The sequence below is a fragment of the Homo sapiens genome, chromosome 5 (genome assembly GCF_000001405.40).
Source record: "Homo sapiens chromosome 5, GRCh38.p14 Primary Assembly".
NCBI lineage: Eukaryota > Metazoa > Chordata > Mammalia > Primates > Hominidae > Homo > Homo sapiens.
Genome location: NC_000005.10, coordinates 52,109,814 through 52,125,687, shown reverse-complemented (window position 1 = coordinate 52,125,687; position 15,874 = coordinate 52,109,814). Strand labels below are relative to the sequence as shown.

At 34.0% G+C, this 15,874-nt stretch overlaps 1 long non-coding RNA gene across 2 annotated transcripts in view; it reads right to left on the bottom strand.

Annotated features, from left to right (window-relative positions):
- Positions 1-15,874, bottom strand: part of LOC105378961 (uncharacterized) — a 30,013-nt gene that overhangs the window by 11,803 nt on the left and 2,336 nt on the right. The window contains exons 1-2 of one of the 2 annotated variants that reach the window (XR_948317.2): positions 15,213-15,340; positions 10,199-10,270 (exon numbers count right to left, since the gene is read on the bottom strand). This is a non-coding gene — a long non-coding RNA (uncharacterized LOC105378961). Of the gene's footprint in view, positions 1-10,198; positions 10,271-15,212; positions 15,341-15,874 lie in introns of those variants that run through there. The other variant, XR_948318.2, reaches the window with a different exon arrangement.

Genomic DNA, 15,874 nt, shown 5'->3' with positions numbered 1-15,874 from the left:
GGTGCTATGGAATCCAACTATGCCCTTACTGATTTTCTGCCTGCTGGATCCGCTCATTTCTAATAAAGAGGTATTGAAATCTCCCACTATGAAAATAGATTCATGTATTTCTCCTGACAGGTTTGTCAGTTTTTGCTTAGCATTTTTGACACTCTGTTTTGGGGTTCATACACATTAAAATATGTCCTCTTGGAGTATTGACTTTTTATTATTATGTAATGCCGTTCCTTATCCCTGATAACTTTCCTTGCTCTGAAATCTATTCCAACTGAAATTAATTCAGCTACACTCACTTTATTTTGATTAAGTGTTAGCATTGTATATTTTTCTCTATTGATTTGCTTTTAATCTTTTCTGTGCCCTTATATTAAAAGTGGGTTTCTTGTAGACCACATATAGTTGAGTCTTGTTTTTTGATCCACTCTGAAAATCTCTATCTATTAATTGGTGTGTTTGGATTATTTATGTTTAAGTGATTATTGATATACTTGTGTTGATAGCCATGTTCTTTGTGACTGCTTTTATTTGTTGTACTTATTTTTTGTTTTTATTTTTATCCTCTATAATTTTTGCCTTCTATTGTTTTAACTGAGCATTTTGTAAAACTCAATTTCCTCTCCTTTTCTAGCATAGCCATTATGCTTCTTTTTTTTTTGTTTTTTAGTGGTTGCTCTAGAGCTTACAATACATACAAAACTAATCCATGTCCAGTTTTAAATGCCAATATATCACTTCATGGGCAGAGTGTGTACTTTATTGTAACAAAGTATTACAAAGGCCTTCCTCTTGTTCTTTGTGTCATAGTTGTCATTAATCTCACTTAAATATAAACACACACACATATATATAAGCATAAATCACTGAATACGTTGTTGCTATTGTTATTTTTAACAAACTTACGTTAGATTATTTAAGAATAAGAAAAGCAAAGCTCTTTATTTTATGTTCATTTATTCATTCTCTGGTGCTCTTTCTTTATGTAGATTTAGGTTTCTGACCCATATAATTTTCTTTATCTCTGAAGAACATTCAACACTTCTTAAAGACAGATTCTATTTTCATTTGTCTGAGAAGGTATATTTTTCTTCTTCACTTCGAAGGATAATTTCACAGTGTACACGATTATAGGTTGGTGGTGTTTTTGTCTCAGCAATCTAAATATTTCACCCTTCTTTCTTGCATTGTTTCTGAGAAGATGTGGGATGCAATTTTTATTTTTAATCCTTTATAAGTAACATTTTTAATCTGATTTCTTTTAATTTTTTTATATTTGATTTTCTGAACTTTAAACATGATATTCCAAGTTTAGTTTGTTTTTTTTTTAAATTTTTTTTATTATTATACTTTAAGTTTTAGGGTACATGTGCACATTGTGCAGGTTAGTTACATATGTATACATGTGCCATGCTGGTGTGCTGTACCCACTAACTCGTCATCTAGCATTAGGTATAATTTTTTGACATTTATTCTTCTCAGTGGTCTCTGAACTTTATGGATATGTGGTTTTGTGTCTGACATTAATCTGGAGGAAATTTTCAATCATTATTTCTTCAGGTATTGCTTCTGTTTTTTCTCTTTCTTTTTTTTTTTCTGGTATTCTCATTACACATAGGTTACACATTTTGCAGTTGTTCCACAATTCTTGATTATTCTGCTCTGTTTTTTTCCCCCAGTCTCTTTTTCCCTTTGCTTTTCAGTTTTGGGTTTACACTGTCACATCCTCAGGGATAGAGCTTCTTTCCTCAGCTTTGTCCAGTCTACTAATAAGCTCATTACAGGCATTCTTCATTTCTGTTACTTTCTTTTTGATCTGTAGTGTTTATTTTTGACTCATTCCTAGAATGTTCATCTCTCTGCTTCCATTACCCGTCTGTTTTTGCATGGTGTCTACTTTTTCCACTAGGGCCTTTAGCCTAATAATCTTAATTTTATATATTCCTGGTCTAATAATTCCAACATTTCTGCCATTTCTGCTGCTAGTTCTGATGCTTGTTTAGCATCTTTGAACTTTACTTTTTCCTTTTAGTATTCTTTTCTTGAAAGGTGGGCACTATATACTGATTAAAACAAACTGGTAAATAGGCCATTAGTGATGTAATTATAAGGTGTTGAGGCAGAGGAATCATTCTGTAGTCATATTATTAGGTCTCAGGATTTTAGTGAACCTAATGTCTCTGGACTGTGAACTTTACCAGTGGTTCTCAGTTCCCTACCCTAGTTGGGACAGAATGGCTGGAGAAGGGTGAAAATTTTGTATTTTCCTTCCCCTACATGGAAGGCTAGAGCTGGCTACAGTTGGATATTTTCCTCCGTCCAGGTAGGTTAAGCTGTTGTAAAATAGTTTCTCCTGAGGGCAGACCTTGTTAAGAAGAAGAGTGTATTTTAAAATGGTTCCTTTTTCTCTTCTTCTGCCATAAATAAGAGAGGCTTTTACTCCAACATTTACTGTGAACATCTTGGAGAATTCCTGAAAGTAAAATTCACAAAATTGTGGGAGCCCCCTGTGATTGGTCCTGCTAGAGTTTTGTTTTGTAATTTTTTAATAGACTTCATTTTCTAGAGTACTTTTAGGGCCACAACAAAATTGAGCAAAGACACAGAGATTTCCCATATACCACCTCTTCCCACATGTACAGAGCCTCCCCACTATCAAAATCCTACACCAGACACTTGCAGTTTTTCTCTCTCAGGTTTGTCCACATCGATTCTCTAGCAATTCATCAATCACAGTTCAGGGGTTCTATCCTGGTATTGGTTCCCATGGAGGTTCTGCTTGTGGGTTTCTGCTCTGAAAAGTTGTGATTCTCTCTGTTTCTCCAATTTTTAGAGCAGCATTTTCTTTATGACCTCACTTCCCTGATGAACTAAGAAGAGTTGATAATTCTTTTAGTTTGTTCACATTTTTACCTCTTGATAAGATAGAGTGAAGACTTCTAAGCTCTTCTCATGCCAGACTGGAAGCCAGAAGCTCAACACTTAGATAAAAGTTAATGTAAAAATGAAACATGCTCTTCTTTTATTTGAAAGTTACATTTTTACATTAATTTTTATCTAAGTGATTTACTCATTATACGTTGTCTTCTTTGCCAAAATTCAGATGACCATCAAGGTGTGGTGCTCTTTCTGTACTATCTATTTTGAAATTAGAATACTTGTATTACACACTTGATTACTGTACTGTAAGTCTTCCATCTTTGTTCTCCTTCAAGGTTTCTTAATGTATGCCTAGTCTTAGCCATTTGCATTTCTATAGAAACCTCAGAAACTGTTTGTCAGTGTTCACATGCACACACAGTTTTATTGGTATTGGATTTAATTCATATACCTACTTTAATTTGCAGTGAATCAATATGTTAAAAATATCCAATCCTCTGACATATGTTTCCACTGATTAGACTTTCTTTTATTGCTCTTACCTATATTGCCTAGCTTTTAGTGTTAATATATTGCACAAAATTCCACAAAAGTAATATACAATTAATATACATTTACGAACTCTTGTAACCTATACAGTTTTTACAATGTTTTGCTTACTTTTTTTTTACTTTTTATTTTTTTGAGATGGAGTCTCATGCTGTCACCCAGGCTGGAGTGAAGTGGCATGGTCTCGGCTTACTGCAACCTCTGCCTCCCAGGTTCAAGCGATTCTCTTCCTCAGCCTCCCAAGTAGCTGGGATTACAGGCGCCCGCCATCACGCCTAGCTAATTTTGTTGTATTTTTAGTAGAGACAGGGTTTCACCATGTTGGCCAGGCTGGTCTTGAACTCCTGATCTCATGATCCACCTGCCTTGGCCTCCCAAAGTGCTGGGATTACGGGTGTGAGCCACTGCAGCCAGCCGGCTTACATTTTTTATTATAGAAAGACAGTATGCCTTTCTATAATAATACCCAGCAACCTTGCTAACATTACCTCTCAATTAAAATAGATTACAGACTTTTTTGGATTTTCTGCAACACGCAGTCGTATCTTCTACAAATAATAAAAACTTTACACCCCCCTTTATAATATGTATACCTTCTTTTCCTGCTTTTTTAGAAGGTCTGCGGTCTCTAGAAGTATATTCAAAAGAGATATTTATGGTAAATATTATGGTATTTATTTTTCAATCTTATGGGGGAAAATTCCAATAGTTCTTCATTAAAAATGGGATAAGTTGTAGGTGTTTTGCAGATATCTTTTTATCAGATGAAAAATATTTATTTTAATTATAGTTTGAAGAGACTACTTGCTAGTTTCCTTGTAAACATATGATAAATTTTATTGATTTTTAAAAATATTTTGAGATGGTCATGTATATTTTTCCTTATATAGCACATATATCTGTAAATTTTCATTTAATCACCATTAATGATGATTTAAAATTTTTGGTATTAAATTCTTATCAACTGCAATTTACTGATCAGTTCAACACCAGCCTGGGCAATATAGTAAAACCCTGTCTCTACAAAGCACACACACACACACACAAACACACACACACACACACAGTGATTAGAGAAATGTCATAAAAACGTTTAATAACTTTTTTGGACTATAACGTTCAGTAAAAATCTGGTTGAATTCCAAAACCCTTTGTTGTAATTACAATTCTGTATGAGTGTGTGTGTGTTTCATGAATAATTTAGAGCTTTATATTATAATCACATTTGTCTGGTGAGTAAGCAGATCCTTAGAATTTTAAGTCACTCATATCTCAACCTATACCACATTTTCTTTTTTATCTTAGGGAAGATAACACAGGGAATGGTTTAAACACGTGTCGGCATACTAAAAAGGCAAAACCAGAACTTCCAGGTGGCAGAGATAATAATTAAAGCAAGCGGCTACTACCTGTAGGATTGGGGAGGTAGATGCAAAGGAATGAAGTTAGGGTTTTCACAACTTACAAACTTGAAGAAAAGGCCGTGCGCAGTGGCTCATGCCTGTTATCCTAGCATTTTTGGAGGCTGAGGCAGTGGATTGCGTGAGCCCAGGAGTTCAACATCAGCCTGGGCAATATGGTGAAACCCCGTCTCTACAACACATACACACACACACACACACACACACACACACTAGCCGGGCGTGGTGGTTTGCATCTGTAATCCCAGCTATTTGGAAGGCTGAGGCAGGAGAATCGTCTGAACCCTGGGAGGCGGAGGCTGCAGTGAGCCGATCGCACCACTGTACTCCAGCCTGGGCAACATAACCAGACTAGGTCTGAAAAAAAAGAAAGAAGAAAGAAAAAGGAAGGAGAGAAGGAAGGAAGAGAGGGAGAGAGGGAACTAAAGGAAGGAAGTTAGTTGAAGAAAAGATCTGCCGAGCTGAGTTCCAGAAAGCACATGGCCAAATTGGTGTTCATATCTCAAGGATGTCAGAAATGGAGCCCTGTGGAACTGTATCTTAGAACTCTGAGGAAGGAATGTTGTCCATTGTTGCTAGCATATAAAATGTGCTTAACTTAAAGATCTTGAGACAGAGAGATTACCCTGGATTATCCTGGTGGAATTTAAATGGAATCTCCAGTGTCTTTTTAAGAAAGACATAGAGGGAGATTCACACACAGACAGAAGATGAAGAAGGCTATGTGAGGATGGAAGCAGTAAGAGATTTTGAAGATGTCATGCTGCTAGCTTTGAATATAAAGGAAAGGGCCATGAGCCAAGAAATAAAAAAACATATATAGCTGTAGAAATTGGAATAGGCAAGGAAACAAGTTCTTCCTAGAGCCTCTGGAGGGAGTATATCCCTGCCAGCATTTTGGTATGAGCTGACACCATTTCAGACTTCTGACCTCCAGAACGTTTGTGGTAATGTATTACAGCAACTACAGAAAGCTAATAAATAATTTGTTTTAAAAATATTATGACTCATATTGTAATTGTAACTAAATCATTTTCTACTTTTGGATTCAGTAGATTAATAAATCAATTTTCTGAAAATTATGCAATTCAAAGTTGACACCATTGAAAATGTAAAGATGTGAAGACATGGTAAGATTTTGATTTTTAGCCACTGCAAATTACTTTCAAAATCAAAGGGGGGTGTTCTTCTGGCTGGTAAGGAGAGTTTGGCAATCGCAGATTAATAAGCACGGTAATTTGTGTTTTTAAAGTTAGAGTTTGTCTTGGTCGGTCTAAGCTACTATAACAAAATGCCATTAACTGGGAGACTAATAAATAACAGAAACTTACTTCTCACAGTTCTCAGGCTGTGAAGTCTAAGATCATGGCACCAGCAAATTTAGCGTTTGTTGAGGGCGCATTTACAGGTGGGTCTTTTTATTGTAACGTCATGGAGTAAGAGGGGTGAGGAATCTCTCTTGGGTCTCTTTTATTAGGGCATTAATGACATTCATGAGGGCTCTACCCTTATGACCTAATCCCAAGTCCCCACTTCCTAATACCATCACACTGAGGGTAAGAATTCTAGCATATGACTTTTGGGGGCAACATAAACATTCAGATTATAGCAAAGGGTTAATACCCAAAATATATAAGAAACTTCTACAACTCAATTTTTAAAAATTGAAAAATTGGCAGAGTACTTGAATAGCAATTTCTCCAAAAAAAGACATACAAATGGCCACCAGTTGTATGAATAAGTGCTCAACATCATTAGTCATCAGGGAAAAGCAAATCACAACCACACTGAGATATCACTGTATACGTGTTAGGATAGAAATCATCATAGTAATAATAATAATACAGAAAGACAAGTGCTGACAAGAGTGTGGTATAATTAGAACCCTTGCACACTGCTAGTGGGAATGCAAAATGGTGCACCTACTATGAAAAACAGTATGGAGGCTTCTCAAAAAATTAAATATAGAACTACCATGTAATCCAGCTATCCCAATTCTGGTATTTATCAAAAAAAAAACATAGAAATCTAGATCTCAAAGAGATATTAGCACTCCTGTGTTCATTGCAGCACTATTCATAATAGCCAAGATGTAGTAACAACTTAATTATCTGTCAATGGATAAATGGATAAGGCAAATATGATATATATATATTAGAATATTTTTCAGCTTTTAAAAAGAAGGAAATATTGCAATATGCAATACATAGATGAACCTTGAAAACATTATGCTAAGTGAAATAAGCCAGTAACAGAAGGACAAATACTGCATGATTCCACCTATATATGAAATCTAAAATAGCCAAATCCATAGAATCAGAGAGTTAAACGGTGCTTACCAGAAGCTGAGAGAAGGAAGCAATAGGAAATTGCTAAGTGATAGGGACAAAGTTTATTTATACAAGATGAATAAATTGTAGACTATTGTACAACATTGTGCCTATAATTTGCAACACTATTGTGAACTAAAAAATTTGCTGGCCCGTTGCAGTGGCTCACGCCTGTAATCTCAACATTTTGGGAGAGTGAGGTGGGCAGATCACCTGAGGTCAGGAGTTCAAGACCAGCCTGGCCAACATGGTGAAACCCCATCTCTACTAAAATACAAAAATTAGCCAGGTGTGGTGGCATTTGCTTGTAATCCCAGCTAATCGAGAGGCTGATGCAGGAGAATTGCTTGAGCCTAGGAGGCAGAGGTTGCAGTGAGCTGAGATCATGCCACTGCACTCCAGACTGGGTGACCTTCATCTCCAAAAATTAAAAAATAAAAATAAAAATAAAAATATTGCTAAGAGGGTAGATCTTGTGTTAAACATTCTTACCACAATAAAATATATTTTTTTAAAAAATAGAGGAAATGCCATGACGAATAATGTTAAATAGACTGTTTTAATCAGTAATCAGCACAGTATTCTATTTGAAGGCAGCAACCAATAAAGTATTATTGGGCTAGAAATTATCCACCCTATTACCACCCTGAAAAGGTTATGCCCTATAAAAATTTAAAAGTTCATAAATAACCTATTATATAGCTGTTTTTCATAAGTTTATCAATGTTTTTGTCAGCCATTTGTATTTTCATCCTGTATCAACTTATTAGTCCAAAAAGCATAGTTTCAATGTTACTTTATCTTCTCATTGGCTTGATGTATGTTATGTCATCAAAGAATAACCCTGTTATGGTGATATTTGGTAAATTCTGCCCACACTCTACATATTTAAGACATCTCATTTACCATTATCCATTTTTCCATGTTAATGACATATTTTTTCCTAATAACACTTGTGCTATTATTTTTCCATTAGAAAGGGATTTTTGTTTACTTGCTTGCTTGTGTCAAGATCTACCCCACCACTATTTGCACACTTGCATTTTCTATACCTGAAAAATTCCTGCTACATGTCATCTTTTTTTCTTGACATTTAGTGAAATATTGTGTTATAGTCCTGTTGTGGACTTGTCACAAGTATTTATAATATCCCTTTTACTCTCATCTATTTATATTTTACTTGGGGGTCATTTGATTGGTTCAAGATAAAATATCTGATTAGAAGTGTGAATTATCCTAATTACTGATTATTTGATAAACTCAAAAGAAGCCCAGGAAGTTTGAGTACATATTACAATTACAAGTCATGTCTGAAGAGGTCTACAGTTGCTCTTCAGGTGTCACTAATATGCTCCATGTTTATTAACCTGCAGCCCTAGACAAAGTGGCCAGGACTCAACCAGGAATTTATAACAATAGGCAGCCAACTAGAAACTGTACAACTGGACATGAAAGGTGCCAGCTGTCTGCAAAGAGTTCTGTCTTGCAAATTCTGACTACCAGGGATTCTCTCGTATGGTTGGTAAATCACCAATGTGGACAAAACCTTTTTGGATATTCTTAATATAAATCACACAGAGAAGGGATAATCTAGAAGTAATGTAGAAAATCCACATTAAATTGGAACAGAAGGTATAGCATGCATAGAAGCCCACAAACATAAGCCTTCTGGAAGAAATATTAGTGGAAATAGTACTAACAAATTGTAGTAGAAATGGAAGCAGAGACAAAAAAAAAAGCTGGCTCATGACAGTGGTGGACCATATGGGGTTGGCTGGGGGAACACAACTACTGCTGAAATGTCTGGATTTCTTTATGTCCCATGTGTTCCAAATCTATCCCACAGTAAGTTGGGCATCTATCTTTTTCTTGAAATCTGCAATAGTCCTAATGAACACTGGAAATATAACTACCATCTTTTACTCTGAAATCGTCTACAATATTTTAAGTTACTGAAATAATTTAAGAAATAAATACATAACCTGGTGTCTGTCCGTCAGCTAATTTTTTACAGCTCTTTGTTCATCCTTAAGGGACACTTGGAAAATAAACTCAGCCTTATGAATGGCCAAACTCAATTTTGGCATATTTTAAATTAGTATTTAAAGAGGCCTTAAATTTTCAAAATAAGGATGTTTCTAATGGATCTGATTAACTACATTGCATTGATCCTTTTAGATGTTAAAGAAGGCACAGCAGGATAATTGCTAGCACTGTAACAAATGGTGTGTTTTTATTATATTCATTCTTTGGGAATCATAGTGTCAAATCTAATCTTATAATGACAATTATAATGCTGTTAGGAGTAGAGAACGACTTCTGAAATAATCAGGCTGCCACTAAATTGGTTAGTGTTCTAATGTACAGTAATTTTGTTGCTCTTAGCTTAGAATTTCTTTGTTACCATATTTGTGACTTGACCCTAAGGATATAGATTTGGACTGAACTCCAAATGATGTAAAAAGATGTTAAAAGATTTTGCTCTAAACACAGTCAGGAGGCACCATATTTCTTGAATTTAGGTATCCTTTTTAATCCCAGGGGATTTTCTTTGTAAAACATGTACTAGAAGAAAAAAAATGTTAATCGAATCTTCTCATTTACACCTTCCATCTGTTTTCATTCCAGCTGTGTCTCCTTAGATACTCGAGAAGCTAGTCAGGTTTGCATTTAATGGTTTTAACTGATGGCAATTGTAATTTAATGAAACTGTTACAAATTAAAGGAAAATGTAAAAAAAAATAAATACTACATATTTTATATTAAATATACAAAATAAAGAATCTACCTACTTTGGACTAATTCAATATGAAAAATTTAACCCAGCACATCAACCTTTTCTTCATTAGGTTATTTGATTATATGTTGCACACACATAATAGAGCATTTATATTTAGTTCATGTAAGTCAGGGTTACCTAATCTTATACTATTGATATTTTAAACCAAATATGGGGTTTTATTGTGTGTATTTTGAGATAGCAGTGTTCCTGGCCTCTATTAAGTTGAAGCAAATAATACTCACCCCATCCCTCATTCATGACAATCAAAAATGTCTTCAGACTGTGCCATATGTCTTCTGAAAGGCGAAGTCACTCTGTTTGAGAATCATTAATGGAAATAGAAAAATGAACTCTTTTTTCTTTCTAGAACAGAAGGGTGTACTAGATGCTGCAATCACTGCAAATAATTTGATAATATTTTGTGAGTCAGGCAACTAGAAATCCACCAAATGTATTTTTTCTCTCAAATCCTTAGTATACTAAAAGTGACTAAATCTGTTTTATAGCCCTAGTTGCACTAAAGTATAAACATTTTACCAACTCCAAAAAGTGCTCATATTTATTTATAATTTTGAGTACATAAAATACAAGATAATAATATTTCATCAAGAAAGACTGAACCACTGCTTGGCCCAATACTTTCCATACAGTAGAAATTTCATAAATATTTGTTGAATATGAATGAAGGACCATACTTCTTACCAGACATTTTAATAATTAATCTCCATTAAATATAACGGAAAAAAATCAAAGAGAGTACAGCTTCTTTTTAAAAGTATGACTAAAATCTACAGATCAAAAGATTAACAAGAAAATAAGATTGAATAAAAACTTTCACCCCAGATGCTCAGAAAGGAACAATTTTGACAGCTTTGGCTTTGAGCAACATAAAAAACACATAGGAATTCCCAGAAGATGTGCAGATGACATCAAGTTGGTGCAGGTAAAATAGAAGAGAAAAACATAACTGCCTTAAACTCCCAGTAAAAGAAGGGTGAATATGCTGCACAAAGGTTTGTCTTGTAGAATAACAGAACCCACAACTAGAATGGTATCATATTATAAAGATTTTTATGAATATATTTGCCTTATAAAACAGCAGTGGTAAAATTTTATAAATCTTTCAACTTGCTTATTTTGGGGATGGGGCTCAGGGACAGAAGAACAGGAGAAGTGAAGGAGACTCAGTAGCCAAAAACTGTACTAGTAAAATTCTGATAAAGTATTCTTTGTATAAACTCTGTAGAAGATTAAGAAAATACCTAAGTCATTCAAATAAGCAATTGTAAAGATTTCATGCAACAGATATTCTTTAAGTCCTTAAATGTTCAAAAATGAAAATTTTTGATGACATAATTTAAAGAACTTTGTTATTAAGTTTCTCAGTTCCCTTATGTAGGTAGGTACTCTCTAGGATGTAATTTTGTAAGTAAGGTGATGTCAGCATTATCTGGCAACACCTTACAAGGTCACTATCGTAAAATCTAATTATGACCTCTCAGTCTATCTCTAAACAAAAAGTGACAGGAAACTTGGGCTTTGGGACTACAGTAGTACCTTCTTATTTATGGTTTTGATTTCCAAGGCTTTAGTTCCCAGTGGTCAACCGCAGCCTGGGCATATTAAATGAAAAATTCTGGAAATAAACAATTTATAAATTTGAAATTGCCTATCATTTTGAGTTGCATTTTGAAATCTTGAGATGTTCCTCTTTATCCCACCCAAGATGTGAATCATCTCTTTGTCCAGTGTTTTCACGCTGTATACACTACTTTAGCTAGCAGCAATCTGGGTTATCAGATCAACTGTCACAGTTTCCACAGTTTGTGTTCAAGGCACCCTTATTATACTTATTAATGGCCCCAAAGTGCAAGAGTAGTGATTCTAGCAATTGGGCAATGCCAAAGAGAAACCATAAACTGCTTCCTTTAAGTAAGAAGGTGAAAGTTTTTAACTTAATAAGTAAAGAAAAAAAAAGTATAGGCTGCAGTTTTGAAGAGCTATGGTAAGAATGAATCTTCTATTTGCAAAATCGTGAACAAGAAAGACAACTTATGCCGATTTTGCTACTGCATCTCAAGCTGCAATAGTGATGGCCACACAGCATGATAAATACTTAGTTAAGATGAAAAAGACAACAAATTTGTGGGTGAAATGAACAGAAATGTGTTTGGATGATTAGCATTTGGGTTCTATACAATCTGCAGTTTCGGGGGTCTTGGAACATATACCTCACATATGGGTGGGACTACTACTTTCAGAAATGGCTCATGTCTATACATCTATAAAGACACACATAGACTAAAAATAATGGATAGAAAAAGATATTCCAAGCTAATCACAACCAAAAAGGAGCAGGAATAGCAATACTTATATTAAACAAAATAGACTTCAAGACAAAAACTATGTAGCAAAGAGGATCTCTATATAATAATAAAGGAGTCAGTTCAGCAAAAGAATATAACACCTTTAAATATAGATGCACCCAACACTAGAGTACCCAGATATAAAAAGCAAATATTATTAGAGCTAAATAGAGATAGTTTTAATACAATAATAGCTCGATACTTTAACACCCCACTTTCAGCAGTAGACAGATCTTCCAGACAGAAAATCAACAAAGAAACATTGGGCTTAGTCAGCACTCTAGACCAAATGGGTCTAATAGATATTTACAGAATATTTCATCCAAAAGCTGCAGAATACACATTCTTTTCTTCAGCACATAGATCATTCTCAAGGACAGACCATATGTTAGGTCACAAAACAAGCCTTAAAACATTTTTTTTAAAAAGCCTGAAATAATGTCAAGCATCTTTTCTGATACATGGAATAAAACTAGAAATCAATAATAAGAGGAATTTTGGAAACTACAGAAATAAATGGAAATTAAACTATATGCTCCTAATGAAATTAAGAAATTAAGAAGAAAATTGAAAATTTTCTGGAAACAAATTATAATGGAAACACACCACCAAATTTCTGGAAACAAATTATAAAGGAAACCAACATACCAAAACCTATGGGATACAGCAAAAGCAGTACTAGCAGGGAAGTTTACAGCTGTAAGTGTCTACATCAAAAAAGAAGAAAAACTTCAAATAAACAACCTAATAATGTATCTTAAAGAACTAGCAAAGCAAGAGCAAACCAAACTCAAAATTAGTAGATGAAATAATAAAGATCAGAGTAGAAATAAACAAAATTGAAATGAAGAAAACTATACAAAAATCAATGAAACAAAAAGTTGTTTTTTTGGAAAGTTAAACAAAATTGACAAATATTTAGCTAGACCAACTGAGAAAAGTAGAGAGAAGATCCAAATAAATGAACTCCTAGATGAAGAAGGAACCCTTACAACTGATACTGCAGAAATCCAAAAGATCATTAGTGGCTACTATGAGCAACTACATGTCAATAAGTTGGAAGATCTGGAAGAAATAGACAAATTCCTAGACACATGCAACCTAACAAGATTGAACCAGGAAGAAACCCAAAACCTGAACAGACCAATAACAAGTAACAAGAGCAAAGCCATAATAAAAAGTCTCTCCGTATAGAAAAACCCTGGACCCGACAGTTTCACGGTTGAATTTTACCAAACATGTTGAAAAGAGTTAACACCAATCCTACTCACACTATTCTGAAAAATAGAGGAGTTGAGAATGCTTCTAAACTCATTTTACAAGGCCAGTATTACCATAATACCAAAATCAGATAGACACATTAAAAAAACAGAAAAGAAAGAAACTGCAGGCCAATATCCTCAATGAATATTGATGCAAAAATCCTTAACAAAATATTAGCAAACCAATTCAACAATACATTAAAAAGATGATTCATCATGACCAAGTTGGATTTATCCCTGGGATGCAAGGATAGTTCAACATAGGCAAACCAGTCAATGTAATACATCATATCAAAAGAATGGAGGACAGAAATCATATGATCATTTCAATTGATGCTAAAAAAGCATTTAATAAAATTCAACATCGTTCCATAATAAAACCCATAAAAATATTAAATACTAGGTTTAGAAGGAACATACCTCAACAAAATAAAAGCTGTGTAAGACAGAACTATGGCTAGTATACAGAATGGGGAAAAAACAAAAGCTTTTCCTGTAAGATCTAGAACACAACAAGGATACACACTTTCACCATTGTTGTTCAACATAGTACTGGAAGTTTTAGCTAGAGCAATTAGACAAGTGAAAGATATTAATGGCATCCAAATTGAAAAGGAAGTAATCAAGTTATCCTTGTTTGCAGATGACATGATCTTATAGTTAAACAAACCTAAAAACTTCACCAGAAAACTGATAAACAAATTCAGAAAAGTTGCAGGATAAAAAATCAATGTATAAAAATCAGTAGCATTTCTATAAGTCAACAGTCAACATTCTGAAAAAGAAATTTAAAAAGTTTTCTCATTAAAAATAGCCACAAACAAAATTAATACCTAGGAATTAATTTAACCAAAGAAGTGAAAGATTTTTATAATGAAAACTGTAAACACCAATGAAAGACATTGAAGAGGATACCATAAAATAGAAAGATATACCATGTTCATGGATGGGAAGAATCAATATTATTAAAATGTCTATACTACCCAAAGCAAACCAAAGATCCAATGCAATCCCTATCAAAATACCAATGACATTCTTCACTGAAATAGAAAATCTGATCCTAAAATTTATATGAAATCACAAAAGACCCAGAATAGCCAAAGCTATCTTAAGCAAAAAGAACAAAAATGAAGGACTCACATTACGTGACTTTAAATTATACTACAGATCTATAATAGCCCTGTGGGTTGGGGGATGGGGGGAGATGAGGATTGTTATTGGATACAAAAAAATCATTAACTGAATGAATAAGGCCTAGTTTTTGACAGCACAATAGGGTGACTATAGTCAATAATAATTTAATTGTACATTTTGAAAGAAGTATAATTGGTTTGCAACACAAAGGATATATGCTTGAGGGGATGGATACCCCATTTTCCATGGTGTAATTATTATGCATTGCATGCAGGCATCAAAAAATCTCATGTACCCTAGAAATATATATACCTACTATGTACCCACAAAATTTAAAAATAAAAAATTTAAAAAAATTTGAGCTGAAATCCATTATTCTCTAAATATACATAAGAACCAAAAAGAATTCATCTGTAATATACAATTATACCAATGATCAAAAATATGTTATGACGTGGACATATATTAATATTGGAAAGACTTGAATGCTTTACTTATGTCCTTTGAAGGATCCTTTGTTGGTGTGGTTGTCGGAATAATGGCCCTCAAACATGCTGTCCTAATCCTTGGAACCTGTAAATAGTAGAGTTGAAAAGAAGCATATTTCCTTCCCATCCCTAGGTTCATGCTGAGGCACCTATAAAATATAGATTAATAAGAGAAAAATATGACAAGTGTATTTAATATAAATTTTATGTGACACAGAAGACTTCAGAAATAAAAACCCGAAGAAACAGGGAAACCTGCGTTTTTTTATGATTAGGTTTAATGAAGAATGAGCAGTCACTCAGAAGTATGATTGGACAAAGACTGTATGATCTGATGGGAATAAATTGGGGGTAACTTAGCAAGTTCTGTTTTTTCAGATTCTTCTTGGCATCTCTGTGTCTTTGTGGGTAAGAATAAGGATAAGGGAAGGCTGCTCTGAAATAAAGGTTTATGACCTGCTTCAGGGCAGGAGGGAAAGGGAAAGGTGAATGTGGCCATCCTGCTTGTACTGGAATATTTGATCATTAATGATTTTAGGACATCTATATATACTCTTGGTATTAACTCTTTTTGTGATACACACATATATGTAATACATATAAACACATTATACAGATATACAATTATACATATATACACATATAAACATAATTATATATTTTTTTCT